Source organism: Homo sapiens, chromosome 1 (assembly GCF_000001405.40).
Source record: "Homo sapiens chromosome 1, GRCh38.p14 Primary Assembly".
NCBI lineage: Eukaryota > Metazoa > Chordata > Mammalia > Primates > Hominidae > Homo > Homo sapiens.
This window is the reverse complement of record NC_000001.11, coordinates 24,974,479-24,997,599: the sequence shown is the minus strand read 5'-3', so window position 1 is coordinate 24,997,599 and position 23,121 is coordinate 24,974,479. Positions and strand designations below refer to the sequence as shown.

At 50.8% G+C, this 23,121-nt stretch overlaps 3 annotated features.

The window, feature by feature from the left end:
• Positions 7,431-7,932: an enhancer, noted in NCBI's record as "H3K4me1 hESC enhancer chr1:25316159-25316660 (GRCh37/hg19 assembly coordinates)". NCBI's record gives its function as "activates a minimal SCP1, AML or CMV promoter by ChIP-STARR-seq in naive H9 embryonic stem cells {active_cell/tissue: H9 hESC(naive)}" and the evidence as "EXISTENCE:reporter gene assay evidence [ECO:0000049][PMID:30033119]".
• Positions 9,355-9,414: a silencer, noted in NCBI's record as "silent region_449". NCBI's record gives its function as "represses an Ori minimal core promoter by ATAC-STARR-seq in GM12878 lymphoblastoid cells {active_cell/tissue: GM12878}" and the evidence as "EXISTENCE:reporter gene assay evidence [ECO:0000049][PMID:35858748]".
• Positions 12,707-13,208: an enhancer, noted in NCBI's record as "H3K4me1 hESC enhancer chr1:25310883-25311384 (GRCh37/hg19 assembly coordinates)". NCBI's record gives its function as "activates a minimal SCP1, AML or CMV promoter by ChIP-STARR-seq in primed H9 embryonic stem cells {active_cell/tissue: H9 hESC(primed)}" and the evidence as "EXISTENCE:reporter gene assay evidence [ECO:0000049][PMID:30033119]".

The window sequence follows — 23,121 nt, the reverse complement described above, 5'->3', positions numbered from 1 at the left end:
CCCGGAACCCAGCCAGGCCATAACCCAGCCCACCAAGCCGGCCTACCCCAACAGACAAGCCAACCAACCCAATCTGTCTAAGCCAGTCCAGTTCTAGAAACCCAAGTGACCTATCTCATCCCACTAGCTCTACCCAACTAACCCTGCCCAAGCCAACCCAAATCAGTCACCCAAGCAACAAACCCAACCCAAGGAATGGGCTCAACCCATCTAACCAAACCTAACCGCCCACCCCAACCCAAGGAGCCCTGCCCCACTACCTATCCAGCCTAATCAACTGATTAGCCCAACTCAACTGAACCAGCCCAATTGGCCAATCCAACTCAACTCAGCAGCCTAACACAACTAACTTGCTGAATGCAACTAACCAGACAACTCCAGTTAAACCAGCCCAAACCAACCCAACTGAACTAACCCAAACAAAGCCAACCCCAAAACCCAGTTCAACTAGGCCAAACCAACTCAATTTACCCAGCTCAAACCAACCTGGCTCTCTCAGTCCAAATAACCCAACCCAATTCAACCACACAGGTCATTTCACCTAACCAGGACAACCCAACTAATCCAGCCCCACTCTACTAACAAGCCCAATCTAACTAGCTCAGTTTAATCCAGTTGAACCCAGATAACTCTGCCTAACCATCCTGGGTGGTTGGGCCTAACTCAACTTAAATCCACCACATTTAAGATAAATCCTCCTAATCCAGCTCACTCCTTTTAACCCAACCCAGTCCCAAACAAACTACCCCCGCTCTCCCTACAAAGGGCACCCCAGCAGGTTCCAACACCCATACTATTGTTGTGCTGCTACCTTTCTTTATTAAAGAGCCCCTGGGGAAAGATGGGGACAACTCTGCCCCTGCCCTCAGGGACCCCACAGTCTCTCAGAGTTTGGGAGAGGACGCCAGCCTCCATGGAGCAAACCCTCCCTTGTGGGGGTCACCTGGAATCTGAGCCAGGCCTGCAGCGGGAGTGGCTGTAGCCAGTGCTGTGGGAGCTCTAAAGGGGGCACACCTGGTCCCATGGCTGACATGACACGTGTGCGGGTCTTGAAGCATTATTTTGACCAAGGGAAAAGGATGGGAAAGCACTGTAGGCAGAGGGAAGGACAGGTACTGGGCCTGCAGGTGGGGAAGCCCTGGGCCCACTTGACAACAGGAACAGTGTGCTGGGGCTGGAAGCTGGAGGCCCAGGAAGGACCACTAGGAGGAGGCTGGGGGGCCTCGAATGTTACCTGAAGGACTGGATCTCCGTGTCTTGGGCACCGGGGAACCAGGAATTTTGCTGAGCAGGGCAGGAGCTGATCAGACATGTGCTTTTGATGGCTCATCTTAAAGGAGAGAGTGGAACAGGGGAGAGAAGGGCCAGCCTGGGCCAGGAGGCCAGGCAGCAGGTGAGACACAGGAGGAGGGCCAAGAAGGGAGGAGCAGCATGGAGGGGGGAAGATGGGGGGAGCAGAGAGACAGAGAGGAGGGAATGTGAGAATATCAGCCTGGAAGGGCCTTTCTACCCTTCCTAGCTCAGGGTGCCCCTTTGCAGATGGAGACACTGAGGGCCAAAGATCAGGGTATGCCCAGAGCTTAGGACCCAGCGCAGAACTCCAGCCCAGTGTTCCTTCCTGAAGCAAATACTGGAGCCCAGCTCCAGGGGCCATTGTACGGCCCCTGTCTGTGGGCCCAGCAAATGAGGTCTCCTCCTGGTGGACAGCCCTGCCCCCACAGAGAAGGCCAAAGATGCAGGGCCCCTTTCCTGGCCCCGTGGGGAGCTGCAGCCTCCTTGGGAGACAGGCAGGCCCTGGGGATGTGTGTGGGATGGGGTGGGCATATCATGAGGTCTTTGGAAAAGAGCTTTGCCAGGAGAGGGTAGATGTGTGTGGGAAGGGGCAGTAATTGACACTGGGATGTCAGGGGCTAGGGTGTGAAATGGGCCCCCCAAGAGCCATGCCTACCCCATGAGCCATCACTTGGGGGATGGGGGCGCAACATGCCCAGACAGGAGGAAATATTGTCACCATCACCCTTCAGGGCAGAGCTGGACTGTCCTTACTGACCATTGGTCTGACCTCATCCTTTGACACCTGGGGACAGAGACTTTCCCTAGTCTACCCAGCAGATCAATGTCCGAGGAGGGGCTAGAACCAGATTGATGACCCAGCCCAGGGATGTCAGGCCTGTACCACCAGGCCATGCATCAGGTTCAGAGTCCAGGGCTGGAGGGGGACAGCCATGAGCTGAAGCACGGAGCATCTCGGTGCGCCCTGAGCCGGGAAGGGGCCCCTGGCCCGGGCCTCTTCCCAGCATGCTCTGCAGCCCCACCTTGCCAGCTGACTCTCAAAGGAAGCCCAGTCTGATCTGCCCTGGCCTGTGTTTCTAAAACTCAAGGGGAACTATTTCCTGGCTCCAAACCCTCTGCCCCCATCTGCTGGGCTGGGTCTCATTGATTTCAGATTGGGAAGAAAACAACTGCTTTCCCTGTGCTGACAGTGCAGATCAATAGAAACAGCTCTGCCCCTTGCCAGACAGCCTTGTGTGGCTGGTGGGCAGTGGATCTATACCAACCCAGGACCTCTAGATCCTGCCCACCCAGACTGCCTGCTTACCCCATTAGAGGAGCGAGGCCAGGAGATAGGCAGCCTGCTGGTTCTAAGTGCGAGTCGCCAGAGGAGGGGTCACAGTTTGGAGGGGGGAGGAATGGACACCTTGGGGTCAGGGGTGGGGGGCGGAGGGTTGCTAAGAGCCCACGCACTCCCAGAAGGTGCAAAAAGCTTGGAGCACCAGAACCCATCTCTCCATAACTGGGAAAACTGAGGCTCAGAGAGGACCATTGACCTGCCCAGGGTCTCATGTGAGTGAGCTCAGAGCTGGGATTCCCATTGTGCTTCCTTAAGACCAGAGCCAACCAGGAAGCTGGGGAGTGGGGCCAAGGCCAGCACCCTTACCACCCTTGCTCAGTGAGGACACCCCATCCCTGCTAGGAGGGGTGGGATGGTCAGCAGTTCAAGAGCATAGACAGTGAAGCAGACGGCTGGGTTCCAATTGCAGCACTTACTGGCCCTGTGAACTTTTGGTGCCTCCGTTTTCCTGCCTGTGAGATGGGAGTAAGCATTTATCTCAGATGTGATCAGAGAGACGCAGTGAGGCTTCCATGTTGGGGCCATGATGACTCCCCAGCATCCACGCTTAACAACGGTCTGTTGAGTAAATGGAAGGGCTTCCTCAAGTTCACGGTGAGTCAGTGGCAGAACCAGGAGCTGGAATCAGGCTTCTTGACTCCTGTTTCCTCATCTATATCATGGGGAGAGCAATGCTGCGAAGGGTCCACAGTCATGCACAAGCTCATCTGCAACAGCACCCAGCATGCGACCCACGCTCAAGGAAGGCCAGGCTCCCCTCGGTCCAGCTTGGGTCATATGTCCCTTCACAAACCAATCAACCAATCACCTTGACCAAGGGGTGGGAAGCCGCAGTGTCCCATCTGGGTTAGGTGCCACCCGGAGATGGGGCTGCAGCAGGTCCCAGAGCCCCAGGGACTTGACCTCCAGGCCCTGATGCCCACAGAGGGACAAAGCCCTGTGCATCCCCCACCTGTGGAATTCGAGCCTGGGACAAGAAAGTACATAATCCCTGCCATGGTTTCTAAGCACTGCCTAGGGATGCCCACGCCCAGATGCTCACTATCAAGCGGGGACTGTTCTAGCCCATGTCACCGGTGAGAACACCAGGGCAGCATAGGAGGTTAAAACGCCTTAATCATGATGTCTTGGAGCAAAATGTATGGCAAGTGTCCCCATCAGAGGCCTCCTTGAATTTAACTGAGAATTATTACATGTTCTCCTGCTGAATGGCTATTAGAATCGTTTGAATAACTGATAATAATAATAGCTGACATTGATTAAGCACTTACTATGTGCTAGGCATTGTCCTAAGCACGTTTCATCTATTAACTCATTTAATTCGTGCAATACTCCTATGTGGTAGGTCCTATTATAAACTCTGTCTTATAGATTAGGAAACTAAGGCACAAATAGGTTAACTCATCTAAGACCCCACAGCTAATGATTGGAAGTTTCCATCAAGAGAAATTCAATTCATCACGGTTTTGCCATATAATGGGAGAAGACCTCAGTTAGCATTTATAGGGAACGCTTCCCTTTCTTCTGCCTCTCCACCCGCTCCCTGCTGGTCTAAGGTTATCTCAATACTGCCTACTTACCAGGCGTTCTGCTAGGTGTGTTATCTACATGTAGTCCCCCTGGCAAGACCCCCAAGTCGGCTTCATCATCCCCATTTCACAGATGAGGAAACTGAGGCTCACAGAGGCACAGTGACTTGCCCCAGCTAATACCCACAGCAGGAGGAGGTGGAGCAGGGCCTGGACTTAGGGGCTGGGAGGGGGGTGGGGGACCTCTGGCCCTGCGGTGAGGACCTGGATAAATGGGGCGCGACTGTGGTGTGTGGTAGAACATTCTGTGCCCGTCCCAGCTCTCTCCCCAGCACACGTCTGGAAAACTCATCCCCAGGGAGGGCAGGAGTGGCCTGGGCATCCCGGAGGGCTGCACTGCCGGAGACTGGATTCCAGGTGACCTTGGCATCGGCTCCTTTAGGACCACAGCCTGACCCTTGTTTTGCTCAGAAAGCCCACACACCATTTCACACAGGAAATTCAACCTGGCCTTCTCACGTCCTGTTCTCAAGAAGAGAGGAAAAAAACCTGTAAATTCAGTCTCTGTGTTGTTTTTTAAACAGACTTTGAAATGTTTCCTGAGAGGGAGGAAGAGTTCACGAAAAGAAACGATAGAGAAACCTGCAGATAGAAATGGGAGGGAAAACACAGCACGAGGATGAAGAACCAGAAGAAGGAGAGACCTAGCAGAGAGGGCATCTAAGATGGAGACCTGGTGCAGGGAAGCTTCGGAAGTAGCCGAGAAGTTGCTGCAGAGGCAGAGGGACGGGGAGCCAGCAAGATACAGAGCAGCACAGGAACGCTTGAGGCTGGTGGAGGTCCCCACCCCACCTCCATCCCCGGCACCTCCCTCTGTCCAGCAGCAGCAACATCGCAGCAACATCATCCAGTCCTTCCACCCCCCACCTCTTCCAGGACGGTGGGAAGAAGCCTCGCTATGGGGTCAGACAGACTATCAGTGGCGTGCTGGACATGGCTGGCCTGGGCTGCTACCAGCTTGTACGAGGCAATTGTGAAATATTTGGGAATTTTACAGGCCCGTGTTGGTAGCTTGAAAATGGCCTTGGTGGGGAGTATTTACACCACAGGAATTGGCAAACACTACAAATTGGGGCTTTTGTTTTGTTTTGTTTTGTTTTTGAGAGCCAGTTTACCACTAGCATACCATTCATTGCCTAGGGCCTGGGGTACAATTCCAGCCATGTCTCTGAACAGCTGTGTGACCTTGATCTTGTCATTCCACCTCTTTGAGCCTCAGTTTCTTCACCTGTGCAATTAGAAGACCAATACTCATCTCACAGGGCTTTAGCGAAAATAAATTCCGAGTGTGTACGGAGCATCCACACACAGCAGGCACTCAACCACTGTCCCCTTCTTCTCTGGAGAACTCACAAGCCTGTCCTCTTCCACCCTTCTCACTTCCTTTTTATGCCTGAGGTTCTCCTGCTCGAGAATAATGGAGCTGAGCCTTGCACTATTTCAGTAGGAAAATGCTGATCATCCTGAGAGCGGAGGACACTGGTATGTTTACAAGGCCTTTAGTCTTCTTAAGTCAGCAGCCGTTAAGCCCTTGTAGGCACAGCATGCCAGGGAGGGCACAGGAGGGGAGGAGGAGGCAGGAGCAAAAGAGACGACTAAGACATGTTTCCTGGAATCACAGGACAGGGAGATGAGGTGGCACATCCAGAAATGACTGGTGCTGAGAAATAAATCACAGCGGACTTTGAAAATGGGATTCAGGGGATGCTCCCAAGGAAGGTAACATTCGAACTGGATTGTCCTCCCTGCCCTTCTCTCCCCTCCCTCCGTCTCTCACCTCTCTCTTTCATCATTCAATTATAATGTATTCATTCATCATTCATTCATTCAGCCAATATTTCCTGCTCACCTGCCCAAACTAAGAGATGAGGACACAGAACATGTGTTTCCCCTGCCCTCTAGGAGCTCACGGTGAGAGGAGACACAGGCCCGCAAGCAGCCAATTCCAGTGCAGGGCTGCCCCCTTTGCAGGCTGGCAGGATTGCAATACATGGAGATGCTAAAGAGGGCATTCCAGGGAGAGGAGATGGCATGAGCAAGGGCCCAGGGGTTGGACTGGGCAGGGCATATTCAGAAGGAGTGAGGAGGCTGAGTGGCTGGAGGGGAGGGTGGGATCCAGAGCCCAAGCTGGAAAAGGGAAGTCAGATCCCTGAATGCCTGGGGCAGGACATTGTTACCTCACCCAGCAGGGTGACTTCCATGGACTGGCAGAAGAGAGAGAGGACATAGAGGAGGAGGAACCTGAAGTCCGTGCTCCCTGACACCACAGTTGTCTTCAGGCAGCCGCTTGTCTATATACCCACCCTATTCTGCAGAGCTGGGTAGCTGCCACCCTCCGCAATGGCTGTCTGTGGTTTGGACACCCCCAGCTCCCTCTCTTCCCTCCTTCAAAAACAACATCTGGATTTTCTTGTGAGGAGCCGCCCCTCCCCGTGTTCCCTCCTTGTGGTGTGGGAGAGAGCTGACCCCGCCTCAAGTTCCAGGGGAGGGCTCATGACCCAGGCTACCCAGTGACAGTCAATCCTGGGGCCATGACTGCATTGTCAGCCAAGAGGTGTTCTCTTTCACAGAGGGTGGAAGCTGATGGGATGAAAGCCAAGTTGATGGTGACCCTTTATGACAAAGGGTCAGAAAAGCCTACGCGAGAAGCAGCTAAAGCAGAGAAAATCAGACTGGAATGAGGGGCAGAGGGAGTTTCTGATGGTATCATTTGAGCTCCCGGATCCATCTGTGCCTGAAGCAGGCCCTATTCCTGGAATTTTCAGTTCTATGAACCAGTATAATATTCCTATTGCCTGTTTATTTTGCTTTGTTTTGTAAGAGCCAGCTTGACAGTCTCTTCGTCTGTCACTTGCCACTTATCCTGACACAGCGGCTCCCCTAGTCCTTGCTAATGTCCGGCATCTCTTTCAGACTCAGCCCTGGGCTCACTGCGTGGACCTGAAGAAGCCGCTTAACCTCTGTGAGGCTCTGTTTCTCAGCTGTAAAGTGGGTGTGACCATCCCCGCCAACCCCGTAGGATCACCAACTAGCGGATGCGACCGTGCTGGTGAGGGGGTTAGTCGGGCAACTCCACAGAGCTGGGACTTGAAATGGAGCCTGTGTTTAAGTGGTTTCGATCATTGACCCCTCCCTCCGCTGTGTCTGTAGCCCACCTCCCCTCCTTTGACCTCCAGGCTCATCTCCAACCGTGCCCTGTGTCTCCACTTGCACCTCAAACACCTCATGCCCAAAAGAAAATTCTTGACTGTTCTCCCCCGAGCCTGCCTCCCACAGTCTTCCCTCCTCAGGTAGTGGGCACTTCATCCTTCCCCGTGCTCAAACTGAAACCTCCCTACAGCCTTGCCACCCACCAGCCTCTGCCCCGGTCCCCGCAGTCAGGAAGTCCTGCTGCTTCCACCTTCAAGGTACAACTCCCATTTCTCCCCACCTCCAGTGCTTCCTCCCTGGCCAGCCCCCATCACCTCCAGCTCGTGTTACTGGGGGAGCCTCCTAGGATCTCCCTGCTTCCACACATGTTCCCTACAGTCTAGTCTCAACAGTAGCCAGGTGGTCCACCTGGATCACCTGATCAGGAGTCTGATGAGGTCACCCCTCTGCTAAAAACCCTCCAATGGCTCCCACTACCATGGGAAAAAAAAAGAAAAAAAGCCAGGCTGGGCACAGTTGCTCATGCCTGTAATCCAAGCACTTTGGGATGCTGAGGCAGGCGGATCACTTGAGCCCAAAAGTTCGAGACCAGCCTGGGCAACACAGTGAAACCCCATCTCTACTAAAAAAAAAAAAAAAAAAAAAATTAGCCAGGCATGGTGGCTCATGCCGGTAGTCCCAGTTACTCGGAGGCTGAGGCAGGAGGATGCCCTGAGCCTTGGAAGTCGAGGCTGCAGCGAGCTGACATCCTGCCACTGCACTCCAGCCTGGGCAATGGGAGTGAGACCGTGTTTGGAAAGAAAAGGAAAAAACAAGAAGAACTCCTCACAATGGGCTTCATTCAGGCCCTGCACACCCTGGCCTCTGTTTCTCTCCAACTCCTCTCCTCCCACCCTTCCCCTCTGCTGCCTCCTTGCTATTCCCAGAACTTGCCAAGCCTGTTCCCACCTCAGGGCCTTTGCACGTGCTCTTCCTCTGCCTGGAATGTCCTTCCTCCAGATGACAGCAGAGTCCATGCACTCATTTCATTCAGGCCTCTGCTCAAGGGTCCCTTCATCCAAGAGACCTTTCCTGACACCTCTGTGCCTTTCAATCCTCTTATCCTGAATATTGTTTCCTTTTTAATGCTCTCTGCCATCTGACATATTCCATTTTTGTTTGCTTCTTGTGGTTTATTATCTTTCTCTGACTCCCCCACCAGTGTTGCTCTGTGAAGGCAGGGTCTTTTTGGCACCAAGCCTACAGGTGCCCGAAGTGGCTACATAGCAGGGCTGGCTAAGGTGCCACAGGCTGGTCTCATTCATTCATTCCACAAACATTCACTGAGCATATGGACTGAGTGTTGTTCTAGGTTGCAGAGGACACAACAGTGAACAAGGCAGACAAAGACCCTGGCCGCCAGGAGGCTTTCATTTGAGTGTAACAAGATAGGATGTCAGAGGGACACCAGGACAAGTGCTGGACTTGCGTCCAAAGCACAGCAGGAAGAGGCTGGGCTGAGCTGTGGTGTGTGGGGCAGGAGTCAGCACTTAGAGGGGCATCGACTGGGTGACACGGCTGCGAAAATTGACTTTGGGATTCTCGACTGCATTACTAAAAGAAGGGCACCCAGAAAAAGGAGGTAAGCATTCCCTTTAGCTCACACACCTGCACCCAGTGCCCAGCAATAGGGAAATAGAGAAATTTTGGCTCAGGAGTAGACTTCTGTGTGTGTGTCTGCCGTCCATTTTCACTTCTTCTGTGAACAGCACCTTTATTCTCCTTTGGGGAACTCCCCCAGCAAACACACACATACTTTCAATGCATGTGATTCGGGTAGAATGATACTCCACCCAAGCTTGAGCTCCACCATCTCTTGAGCTCACTCCGCAGCTCAAGAGATGAGCACATGACCCAGGCCTGGCCAATCAGCACTGGATCCTATATCTAATCATCGGTTTAAGTGAGAGCACATGACCCAAGCCCAGCCAATGATAATCAGTCCTGAGACTTTGCCTAGAAGGATAGAGAGGGGAAGCTCTTTCCCTTGGAATTGTTAAACTGATAAAATACAAAGCTTTAGTTGCTGAGGGCCACTAAGGGGAGAGGCCTGCCTGAAAGTGAGGCTAAGACAGAGTAGAGCACTGTGGAGAGCTGAGAGGGAGAATAAGAGGATCTGAGTCCTAATCGTGTTGTTTGAGCTTCTGGATGCAGCCATGCCTGAAGTCATCTGCCCCTGAAATTTTCAGTTGTATGAGCCAATGATTAAGCCAGTTTGCAGGGAATTTCCATAATACAGAACTACAGGAATCCTGATCATTATAATTCAGTTGTGGGTATCCCACTTTGGGAAGCTTTGATCTACTGGACCATTAGCAGAAGAAGGGTTTCAGGGTAGCAGGATGTTCTCAAAATCATGGCATTTGAGGAACAGTTGAGGGCAGGGTACCTGATGGCAAAGAACATGGGCTTTGGAGTCAGAGCTGGCCTCCTGCTCAGCCTTGTATTAGTCGGGTGATCTTAAGCAGGTCGCTTCGTGTCGCTGATGCTCCGTCTCCTCCTCTGTAAAACAGGCACAGTAACAGTGCCTGCCTCAGGCAGGAGGACATGAGATAACATGAGCGATGTCCTCAGTCCGGCGTCTGGAGAGCACCTGATGGGAGAGCTGACTTAGAGGCCTGGATAGTGTGGATGAGGGATTAGCCTAGTACTGGGGCTGAGGCAGGCAGGAAGCGGCGAGGGAGCGGGGATGGGTAGAGGGCAGAACTGGGACTGATGAGTAGAGATACAGAGGCTGACTTCAGCTGGACATAAAGGAGAACTTTCTCCCAGTCCAAGCTAGCCCAAAATGGCATGGACTGCCATGACAGGTAATGAGCTCCCCATCACCAGAATATGTGGCCACTTCAGAATGCTGTAGAGAAAGTTCAAGCATTAAGCCACGGCAGGAACTAAAGGAGCCCTGAGGTCCATGGAGCCTGGGGGTTGGTGGGGAGGGGGAGTCATAAGCGAGTTCCCTGAATGTTTCAGTTTTAGCGAACTCCCTGGGGGGATATTTAAAGCTTGATTCCCCCCAACCCCATTCCACCAACCCCAGGGCTCCACTATATTCGAGTGATTTTTTTCCTTCAGATTTGCAGTTCCCCTGTCAGGCTGGTCCAAGTCCAGGGATCTACTTCAAGGCAAACATGTAGGAATCATTGTCAGACCACAGAATGGAGGGCTACCTGGCCCCCTAGCCCGCCAGAGCCACAGCAATTGGCTCAGGAATCAATGGTCATGTGAACTGAGCCAAGCCAATGAGTGTCAGCCCCGGAACTTTTGCTGGAATTATTGAAAAACAGGCCCTCCCTTTATCTGGTTTGCTAAGCTTCAGCAGTAAGTTAGAGCTGCTGGCTGCCTTCTTTGCAGTTTGTAAGAAGAGCCTTCTCAAGAATGAAGCCAGCACAGAGGAAAGCAGAACAAAAGGGGTGGAGGGGAGCCAGGGTCGGGGAGGGATTTATTTTAAGGAATTGGCTCATGCAATTGTGGAGGCTGACAAGTCCAAAATCTGCAGGGTAGGCTGACAGGCTGGAGACCCAGGGAAAAGCTGATGTTGCAGCTTGAGTCTGAAGACAGATTGCAGGCAGAAATCCCTCTTCCTTGGGGAAGTCAGTCCTTTTTCTCTGAAGATGGTCACCTGATAGGATGAGGCCCACCCACATTATGGAGGGTCACCTGCTTTACTCAAAATTGACTGATTTAAATGTTAATCTTATCTAAAGAGTACCTTCCTAGCAGTGTTTAGACTAGTGCTTGATGATATATTGGGGCACTCTGGCCTAGGCAAGTTGACACATAAAATTACCATCAGAGCTGGGTTTTGTAACTTGCAATAACCAAATCGGTCCTGATACAGTCGGTTGCCTGGAGGCAGGGGGCGTGGACCAGGTCACCTTCCCACCTTCTCTGACTCAGGGAGTCCACCTGAAACAGAGGCGTTGGGGTATCTTGGAAAGAGCACTGGAATCAAGGGTCAGACCAGAGCATACATTTCTTTTGTTATAAGAAAAGAAATAATAAAGAGTGGTTGAAATCAAAGTAAGCATGGAAACAGCAGGTCACCCTTCTCTTTCTTCTAAGACCCAGTTACATAGAAGTGCTACAAGGTGTTCCAGCTGGACAGACAAAGCAGGTAGTAGAAACAGCCAGAATCTGAACCCAGAAAGGCCTCGGCATAGGCCCAACTCGGACACTTCTTGGCAATGTGACTAGGGGGTGTCCCCTGGCATCTCTGAGCCTGTTTCCTGACATATGAATGGAGGCAGTGATACTGACATCACCACATCATTATGGAAATTTAAGGAGGCCCAACCCAGTATGTGAAGTTTTTAGGGAGGCCTGCCTGGAGTAGGTTCCTAATATATGTGAGTTTAAGCTGAACAGGGTAAAAAATTCAACAAAAGCATTTATGGGTGCCCATGCCGCATACCACACAGTGCTGGGCACTAAAGGGCAAACAGATTCCTAGATGCTGACATCTTGACTACAAAGAATAGATGATGAGCCTGGCAGCTGGGGACTTCCTGGAGGAGGCATATGCAAGCTGGGTCATGAAGGATGAGCAGGATTTAGACAATGGCAGAAGAAGGGAGGGAATTCTGAGAGGAGAGAGCCCTGTGGGCAATGACCTGGAGGCTGAAAGGCACAGAGCATATTCCATCCTGGCCAGTATAAGGTGCATGGGGAGAAGCAGGAAGAGGGTTACCTAGAAGGACCCCAACACCAGGCTGAGGAGTATAGTGGTGACGCTGTGGTCCTAGGGAGCCATGGGAGATTGTAGACCAGGAGAGGACCAGGTATTTTGCATTTCCTGGGATTTTAATGGGGCTGAGGATTCCACCCCAGCCCAGGCTCCATGGTGAGTGGTCTCTGCCTACATCCTCCCCAGGCTTCCTGGAGGCCCAGACAAGCAGTGAGAACCACGGAGGGAGGCAGACAGCAGCCAGCTCGTCTGACACTTTGACCACATACAAGAAAAGAAGCTTATCTGATGTGCCTTAATGTGCAGAGTCTGCAGAGCCATGAGGGAAGTGTCTTGATTTCTCTCTTTCTCTGGCTGCTTTGCCTTGGAAATGCTACTGTAGCTCTGGTGAGGGTTGGGAGCAAGTACTCTGCTGTCATTATTGGGTCACATGGTGTGGTGGGACCCCAGAATAACATGGGGGGATCGGGCTCCTAATGCAATTGCAGGAGCAGGCTCTGCACCGCTGGGAGGATCTCTCCCTGTCCTCTGCTTCCCACTGCCTGGAATCCACCAGGACAGCTGCCTCCCCTGGCCCAGGGCCTGCTTTGGTCCTCACTAGGATGCAAGTGTGGGCCTGGGCAGGGGGCTCTGCCATCCAGGAGGACTCACAGGGAAGGCATTTCCATTGTTTTCTGGAAATGGATAGAAAAGCATAGGGATTCTGGGGGGTGGGAACAGGAGGCAACAAGCAGGGAAAGGGACAGACTGGGGGCCCTGGGACTTCTGAAGCCAAACCCTGTCCCTTTTGGCCCAGAGTTCCCCTGCTCATCACTGGAGCTTCCTGTACCTTGACATCCTCTCTCCTCATCACACCAAACCTTGCCACAGAGCACCTTGGGTCCCCAGGCCATGGTCACCAGTGTGCTGAAGATTCAAGGTCTTCTGGGAGTTTCTTTTCACATCCCACTTGCCTGAACCTGGCTGTCTCGAAAGACACCACCTCCATGCAGCCCTCCAGGAGAGGTTGCTCTCCATCAACTCCCCACTGTCAAGGGCTTCCAGACGTTGCCCCAGACAGTTCTCCCTCTCATCTCCCACTGAGCCCTCTGTTCCTCAGGGCCATCCCCTTCCTATCCCTACTCTCCAGGCCCCTGACCACACCCCCTTAGCCCTTCCAGCCCTGGGCTCCTGGGGGGTCATGTTCCTCTTTGCCCCCAGGCTGAAAGAAAGAACGAATCTGTGAATGGATGAGTGAATAAGCGCATGTTGTCTGCCTTCTGCCGGCCTCTCCTGCGAGACCCACTCACCACCTGAAATTGCCCCTGATAACTCGCCAGCGGATCCTGGTCACCGCACCCTATTTATGACCCCTTCCTTACAGGCCTCCTTGGACTCCCCTCATCCCTGAACCCACCCAGTCACCTTCTATGCTCACCCCGCCCCACCCTCAAAGCCTGACACATCCCAGCTTCCTGCCCTCTGACCTATCTCCTTAGGCACAACATTTCCATGGCCACGTCTGGACAACTGATGGATGCCCAAACTCCTGTCTTCTCTCGTGGGCTCCAGAGCTGTAGGAGAGACCTCCTCAGACATGGCAGGGCCAGTGTGAACCCCTCACACTCTGACCTAACAGGGTCCACCCCCATGTTCCTAAAGGCTCCACCCTCATCCCACCACACCTCAACAGGCCCTGCTGTGCTCCTCACCACCGTCCAGTCTCCAGGCCACAAATCTGGGCCAGCCTTGACTCATTTGACTCAGCTTTCTAAACACTTCTTAAATCCATCTCTCCCCTTTCCACAAAGCCACTGTCCCGTGTCAGGCCTCAGCCCCAGTCCTGGACATCACAGAAGCCTGGACATCTCCTGCCACCAATCCTCTCTCCCCACCACTCCCCGTCCAGTGCCACCCTGCAGTCACCCAGGTGACTTTTCGGAAATGCAAATTGGAGCCTGCCTCTCCCCTGCTCAATACCCTCCCGTGGCTCCCTACTGCCTGCCCACGGCTAAGTACAAATGCTGTGTCAGGGAACAGCAGCTTTCCCTTCTAAATCAACCTCTGTCCATGGTCCAGGACCAGACAGCATCACCAGACAAAATACAGAATGTCCAGTTAAATTAGAATTTCAGAAAGGCAACAACTATTTGGTATGGCCCAGGTAATATTTGACGTCCCACATTTTTATGCACTAGATCAGCCAACCCTAGGTTCAAAGTCATCTTGAGCTGTGCTCCCAAACCACCACCATGGCCTCAGCTGAGGGCTGGCGAGATGAGCCCCCAGCGTTCTGGAGCTGAGAAAACAGCGACACGGGGGCTTCTTCCTGTCCCTCCACACGTGCTGTGTTTGCCGTTCCCTCGGCCTGGAAGGCATCTGCCTACCCCATGTATGGGGCTCACCCCTTCTTTCCTCTGGGTCTCTGCTCACATGTCCCCTGCTGAGAGAAGTGTCCCTGACCACCCACCTAAAATAGGCCCTCCCTCACTCCATCCCTTTCCCTGCTTTATTTTCCCCAGATGTGGATGCCACCTGCCATGGCACACACTTACTCCTCCATTCTTTATCATCTCTGCCTAGGACCCAGCTCCAGAGGGACAGAGACTTTATCTGGTTCACTGTGAATCTTAGACCTGATTTGTGCCTAGAACATAGCAGGTGCAAAATAAATACCTGCGAGCAGAAGAAAGTCATCTGTCCCTCTGTTTTGGCACACTGCCCCGGGGAGCCACTCCGAAAGGGGCCAGTGCACCTCTTTGGCTCTGCAAAGCTCAGAAACCAGAGGGCACGTTTCTGACTTTTCCAAGTGCAGGAAAGTGGAGTGGCTGGAGGGGTGCAGGTTGCATTTGAGTGGGCAGAAGCCAGTCTGCCATTCTGGGAAGCTATATTTTCACAAATGCCACGTGTAGGGGAGCCACGGACCACCCCCCAAAACACACTCCTGTCCTCGGGGTCATACTGCAGAGAACCCCCGGCACATCCATGACCATGTTTGTGTGGCGATCACCTCCCTAGAGTGAGTGGGCCCGGTTGGCGAGCCCCTTCCACAGTTACAGCCCCTGTCTGTGGCCTGGGCCAGCAGGGGCCCATCCCAAAAAAAAAAAAAAAACCCAGGCAGAGGAGGGGTTCTTAACCTTTATTCGGGTTCCAGAACCCTTTGGGAACTTTATGAAAGCCAGAGACCCTCTCGCTGGAGACCACACGTTTTATATACTTTTGTGTCGGGATTTCGGGGGTCCCTGAAGCTTGTGTGCTCTGGGTAAGAATGCCAGTTGTGTTAAAAGAGAGTCTGTCTCTGTGGGGGAGAAGTCAGGAAAATTTAGGTATGGGGGAACATTTGGAAATATGGGGGGGGGATATTTGGAGAAAGAAAGAAGGAAAGATGAAAAGACAGCTTGAGCTCAAGAGGAAGAAACACCCCAAAACGTTGACAGTGTTTCATTCTGGATAACAGGACAGGAGTGATTTTTAAGATTTTTTTTTAGTCTTTTCAACTGTTCAGTATGAACCACGCGTCACTTTTGTTACCAGGGAGGAGAGGCAGACAGCACCATCGGGAGGGGAAAAAAGCCGGTGAAGGGTGCAGTGGGGCAGGCCTGGGGGAGGCCACAAAGGTCAGAGCCCAGCCGCTGGGCTCAGGCCTGTGGAGCAGCCCTAGCCCCCGGGGTCAGTGCCGTGCTTGGCCTAAGCCTCAGTTTTCCCACCTGGTAAATGGGGACTGATAGTGACGCCCCGGTCGTCACGTGAGGGTGAGTGTGAGGACGAGGGTGGGGGTGAGACGTAAGGGGAAATGTAGGCACACAGTTGCCTCTCTGAGGCCTGGGGTGGGGAGAGAGCTGGCAAGTTTTTTTCCTTTTTGTGGGAGGCAACTTCAGGTTCTTTGATCTGTTTCCTCGAAAGGGGGAAATCAAACCTCTGTGAGCAGGGGGCAGGGCGGGGTGGGGTGAGGGGAGTTAGGAACAGGGAGGAGTGGGAGCAACTTCTCCTCAGCACCCCCCACAAGAAGCCTGGAGGGCAGCTCCCCCTGAGTGACAGGACCACTTTCTGGGGGTCCCTGGCTTCTAGGCCCTGTGAGGGGCTGAGGTCAAGGGAGGAGACGCCTGGGGTGAGCCGATGGGCACGTCCAAGCCTGTGGGCTGATCCCTGAGGTCCAGAGGACACTGTTGAAACCACCTGCTGAGAGCTGCCCCCAGTCCAATTCCCTGATGCCTTCCAGACCCTCAGAGGGCCATACAGCTTCAGAGAGGGTAAGACATTGGCCTCAGATACACAGCCAGCATGCAGCAGACCTACATTCAAACCCCGTGCCGTCTGATACCAAAGGTGATCTAACTCTCGCAGCAGACATCCCCTCCTCAGGGCCTGGGCCCTTCCCATTCCCCGCCTTGTCTAGGAGATGGGTGCTGGCATCACACTCATTTTACAGATGTGGGGGTTGTGTCACGTGCTGTGGGTCACATTGCTTAAGTAACTGGCAGAGCCAGGACTTGAATACAGGTTGCTTGGTTGACAAGCCCAGCCTTGTCCACTTGCAAACTCTCCTCAATTTGATTCAACAAATGCACATTGAGCAACGGAGGTGCAGCAAGCCCTGGGCTGGGCACTCCGGACACTGGCCCAGCCAGTGAGGTCCAGGACATCAGACCCATTTAACAAAAACCCCAGTCAGCAAGCGGGGTCTCTGCCTGCACCTTCCCTCTCTGGGGCTGCCACGGCACCACACCACAAGCTGGGTGGCTTGGGACAGCAGCAGTTTATTATTTCCCAGCTCTGGAGGCCTCAAGTCTGAAATCAGGGTGTAGGCAGGGCCTCGCTCCCTCTGGAGGCTTGAGAGGAGAATCCTTTGACTCGAGGCTGCACCTGTCTGATATCTGCCTCCACAGCCCCATCACCTCCTCCTCTTGTCTGTTACTCTCCTTTGCCTCTTTATATAAAGATGCTTGTGATGGTGTTTACAGCCCATCCAGATAATTCCACATCATCTCACCTCAAAATCCCTAACTTAATCACATATGCCACCATATAAGGTAATATTCACTGTTTTGCCATATGAAGTAATATTCACAGGTCCCAGAGCTTAGCATGTGAATGCATCATTTTTGGGGTCACCATTCAAGTTGGGAAAGGCCACCCCTTTCTCCAATGATGTGGGGTACCTGGGGAAGCTTATGATGGGTATATGGGGGCAGGGGGTTCAGAAGATATAGGTTTACCTCAGGGGTGGTGGGGACAGGAGCCCAGGGCTACCTTAAAAGTAAGCCCTTACATGGGGCATGGTGGCTCACACCTGTAATCCCAGCATTTAGGGAGGCAGAAGCAGGAGGGTAGCTTGAGCTCAGGAATTCAAGATCTGCCTGAGCCATATAGCGAGACCCCATTCTCCACAACAAGGAAAAAAAAAGACAACAAAAGTAAATCCTTAGAAGACACTAGGGGGGGGCTCAGGGGAGTGGTGGAGATGGGAGTCACCTGCCTTCTGCCCTTGGTGACAGGGGGCTGCAGGCTGTCCCTGTGTATGTGTGGACACCCCCAACCCCACCTCCCAGGCCCCCTACAACTAGTTATCCAGAGACAACTTTAAGAATGTAACCGATCATGTCATGTACCTACCCCAAGATCAAATTAAACCCATCAGGAGCTTGTCAATGCTCTGCTTACCTGTGACCACCTTGACCACCTGACCATGCTGGCCCAGCCCAGCCTGCCTTTCTGTCCTCTCTTCACTGCCCCTGACCCCTTTGTTCAGTTTCTAAACCAGGCTGGACTCTTGCCCTCCTCTGAGCCTTTGCCCATGCTGTTCCCTCCACCAAGCACACTTTTCCCAGACCTCACCCACCTCCCCATACTTTCCACTCCTGACTCTGTGTAAATGTCATGTCATCCATGAAGCCTTCATGATTAAAATTAAATAATTATTTGTGAAGCTACTTGTTGAATGTCTGTGTATTAGTTCGTTTTCATGCTGCTAACAAAGACATACCTGAGACTGGATAATTTATAAGGAAAGAGGTTTAAGGGACTCACAGTTCCACCTGGCTGGGGAGGCCTCACAATTATGGCAGAAGGCGAAGGAGGAGCAAAGGCACGTCTTACATGGTAGCAGGCAAGAGTGCATGTGCAGAGGAACTGCCTTTTATAAAACCATCGGATCTCATGAGACTTATTCACTACCACCAGAACAGTATGAGAGAAACTGCCCCCATGATTCAATTATCTCCTCCTGGCCCCACCATGGACATGTGGGGATTATTACAATTCAAGGTAAGATTTGGGTGGAGACATAGCCAAACCATATCAGTCTGTTTCCCCCGTTAGACTCTAAGTCCCACAAGGGGAGAGATACTCTCCACATTGTTAATTGCCCTATCCTTAGCACCAAGCACAGGGCCTGACGCCTAGTAAGTGTACACAGTACATAGCTATCAAAGAAATGAAACAAATGCCAAGCCCAACTATCTGAGCTCTCTCTTCTTCAATGTTTCAGAAAAGCAGGGCATTCATTCGATCCCCCATTGGGTCAATCAATCAAATATTCATTCAACAAACATTTGTGGATGTCTGCTTTGTATGAAACCCTGTGCTGGGAGCTGGGGACACACTTCCTGTTCTTAGGACACTCACAGACTGGTGGAGGGGGCCAGACATGGGAACAAAAGCTGCTACAAACCACAAGCCTGGAGAGGGTGAGGAGCCTGAATGAGGTTTAGAGACAGTAGCTCCTCCATGGTTGGGAAGCAAGTGCAGGGAGGAGCCCAGTCTCTACAAAGTTCGAGTCAGCAGATGTGAAGTCTGGAGCTCTGGAGGCCCCACACACGGTCTGGAGGGCTGGGGCTGGGAGGGGTGGGTGGAGGAAAAACTAGGGTTTTCTTGCAGAAAGTGGAAGTTGTGAAAGCTTCAGCAAGGTGCTAACCGATTGTTCACCTATCTGGATGAGAGGTGGGGAATGAGTTGCTCACACCACCAGACAAGAGGTGGTACATGGGGAGTGGACAGTGAGGGAGGATGTAGCTTGGTGATGGAGTGAGTGGCATTCAGTAAGCCTTCCCCTTCGCCCCCTGAAGGGTCACCGAAAATGAACCGACAAAAGGCACATTACCAGGGGAAAAAGGCATACAGATTTAACATGCGTAGCGTGAGACAATCACAGGAGAACCATTACCCAATAGCCCAGTGAGGTCCAGATGCTTATATGCCCTTCTTCATGAGAGAAGAGGGAATAGGGGGCATAGAAGTAAACGGTTTTTAGGGGGAATGAAATGAATGGACCCAGGAGGCAGACATTATCCTGTGAATGAATCTCTGGAAACTGAATGGAAGAGGAAAGCAAGCAATGGTTTGGGACAAAATTTGAAGTTCAGTTTGGGCTCTATATGTGGCGTTTAATTTTCAGTGGTTTTCTCTATGGTTGCAGTTTTAATCTTCTCTGGTTAATAAAATTTCAGAGAAGGGGTGGAAGGCAATTGTGTTTCTCTCGGGGGGGTCCAGTTTCTGGAGAGATAGGGGAACTTCAGAGAATGGCTTTATCCTGGGCTTTGACAGCCAGGAAGGGCGCGGAAGGTAGAGAGAGCTCGAGGCTGCTTCTTCAGTTCAGCATGTGGAGTTGCTATATTTATTATTATTATTATTATTATTATTATTATTATTATTTTATTTTTTGAGACAGGGTTTCACTCTGTTGCTTGTGCTGGAGTGCAGTGGCACAATTTTGGCTAGCGGCAATCTCGACCTCTTGGGCTCAGGTGATCCTCCCACCTCAGCCTCCCAAGTAGCTGGGACTACAGGTGCACACCACCATGCCTGGCTCATTTTTGTATCTTTTGTAGAGATGGGGTTTTGCCATGTTGCCCAGGCTGGTCTCAAACTCCTAAGCTCAAGCAATCTTCCCACCTCAGCCTCCCAAAGTGCTGGGATTACAGGCATGAGCCACTGTGCCCGGCCTCCTTGCTCCTCTTTTATAGAACTGTCTTGGCTTTCCTTGGCCATTTATTCTCCTATATGAACTTTATTTTATTTTATTTTATTTTTTGAGATAGAGTCTCACTGTGTCACCCAGGCTGGAGGACAGTGGCATGAGCTCAGCTCATTGCAGGCTTGGGTTCAAGTTATTCTCGCCTCGGCCTCCCAAGTAGCTGTAATTACAGGTGTTTGCCACCACGGCCAGATAATTTTTGTATTTTTAGTAGAGACGGGGTTTCACCATGTTGGCTAGGCTGGTCTTGAACTCTTGGCTTTAAGTGATCTGTCCTCCTCAGACTCCCAAAGTGCTGGTATTACAGGTGTGAGCCACCACACCTGGCCTCCTATATGAACTTTAAAAACAATTTGTCAACTCCTATAAAAGATCTTGTTGGGGCTTTCATTGGACTTGCTAATATAATTTGTAAATTAATTGGAAAGAATGAGCATCTTTTGAAAATTAAGTCTTCCCAAACATAAGATGCATTGGGAATTCTTACCTCAAACAAAATCTCCCCCGCGATGTAGAAAACAGAAAGGTGTGGTTTGGACGCATGCATTCACCTCTGCTTCCTCTCTATAAAGTACTGTTGTTGTTGGTGGTGTTTTGTGTTGTTTTAGGCATAAACCCACAAAGTCAAAGAGAACAGGGGAAAAGATAACAACAACAAAGCGTAGGAACCTGGAAAGCAACGGCATGAGAAGCCACGGACTTGGCAGATCTGAGAGACCTGAATCCCTACAGACAGCAGTGGGGAAAGCCAGAAAGCCACTCAGCCTCTTACCCTGCAAAACCTCTGAAGACTCAGGGATTGGCAGCACAAGAGATATATCCGGAAATGGAGGTAAAGATGGGGCTGACAACAGGAAAAGTCTGCTTAGAAAGCAGTTAGACCCCCAGGTCTTCTCCCCACCCCAGTGGAATATTCGAGGTTTATTTTCTAAAAAGAGAAAAACAGAGGGACTCTGGATAGGAGGGGACAAGCCATGTAAAAGACAAAGGCTACTCTGCTGAAATGAAGGATCCAGTGAATGTGGCATACATACGTTTACGATCTTTTCACTCCAGAACATTGATAGCCAGTCCAGTACCTTCCAAACAGATCAGAAGGGTCTACCCTGGGGAATCCAAGCAGAATAAGATGAAAGATATAAAGATACTGACCAAGAAAATGACCCAGCCAGACCCCCTCTATAAAGTCCAGAGTCTGGCCGTCCCACACAATTACACAGAGCTTCTGATCAGAGTTTAGTACCTTGTTATTAAATAAGGTCAAACAGCAAAGAATCGTCAGCCATACGAAGAAAACCTCTACCCAGAAAGACAAGACAAAACAGAGAATTTTTTTAAAGTAACTTGGAAAAAACAGACTATGCAGGGAGATGAAATATTTTTAAAAATTATATCAACACAATCCTCAGAAAGTAAGAGAAGGGACTCCATCTATGCAGTAAGAAAAAGTAGTATGAAATGTAATAATTAGAAAACAAAATACAAATTCAAATTATTATAATAGAAATCAAAAACTCGATAGAGGCATTCAAAGAAAAAAAATTAAGATACCATCCCCCTCCCCATCTAAAGACTATAAAAATACAAAGAGATAGAAAATAAGAAAGAATGAGAATTTTATAATTCTTTAGAATCTAAAAAAAGAACAATGAAAAGGCAAGAGAGAAAATGATCAAAGAAATAATTATGAAAATGACCCAGGATTGATCACTATAAATGTCCAGATCAAAAAGATTAACTGAATGTCCAGAACAATAGAGAAGACAGGATTACATGAAGGCATCTCACTATGGGATTTCAGAACACTTGAGACAAAGAGAATATCTTCAAAACTTCAAGAAAGAAAAAGTAGGCTATTTTCAGATATTAAGAATTAGTATCTCTAGACTTATCAACAGCAGCACAAGAAGCAAGAAAGCAATAGAGAAATACCTTTAAAATCTGAAGAAAAATCATTTCAATCGTAATTTCTATACCCAGCCAAACTATCTATGACGTATGACCAAAGACATCAAATGCAACAAGCTCCCAAATAAATCTACCTCTCATGTGTGCTTTCTCAGGAAGCTAATGGAAGATATGCTCCATCAAAAAAGGGAGTAAACCAAGAAAGAGAAAGGATCCAGAAAACAGAGGGCTCAGTGTAAGAGAAGGCAAAGAGAACCCCAGGATGACAATGAAGGGAGTTCCCAAGTTGACAGATAGCAGCATTCCTTAAGAGCAATCGGTACAGACTGGATCAAGTTAGGGGATTCCAGGAGAGAGGGCTCAAAAAAGATGAAACTGAGAGAATACCTGAAGTTTTTGAATTTCTTCCCTTTCCCTTTCCCTTTCCCTTTCCCTCTTCCTTCCTTCCTTCCTTCCTTCCTTCCTTCCTTCCTTCCTTCCTTCCATCTGCTTCTATCACCCAGGCTGGAGGGCAGTGGTGCTATTACACTCACTGCAACCTCAATCTCCTGGGCTCAAGCAATTTTCCCACCTCAGCCTCCTGGGTAGTTGGAACTACAGGTGTGTGCCACCACCCCCAGCTAATTTTTATTCATTTATTTTTTGAGAGACAGGGTTTCAACATGTTGCCCAGGCTGGTCTTGAACTCCTGGACTCAAGTGATCCTCCCACCTCAGCCTCCCAAAGTGCTAGGATTATAGGCATGAGCCACTGTACTCAGCCATGACCTTCTTAATAGGAGATTTGGACAGCTAGCAGAGAGTGTAGGGATGTATTAGTGACAAGTACACAGAAAATTATGCAAATGAAAAGCTAAACAAATAACAACTCTAGGGAAAACAAAGCTGTGCAAGGAAGGAAATGAAATCAGAGCATACTACATGGCTCATCTGTGGGAAGCATTTACCCAGCTATAAAAATGGAAATACTAACAGTTAATCTAAACAAAATTGTAACTATTCAGTGAGGATGGAAAGGCGCTTGGTAAGGAGGGAGCCAGGTGAAAAGCAGCTCAGTCCTCCTCCATGGTGGAAAGTCATTAGATAATGCCAAAAATGGAAAAATCACAATGAGCTTGGGAAACATGCTATTTAGAGAAATCAAGGAAATACTAGAAGAAACAGTTCAA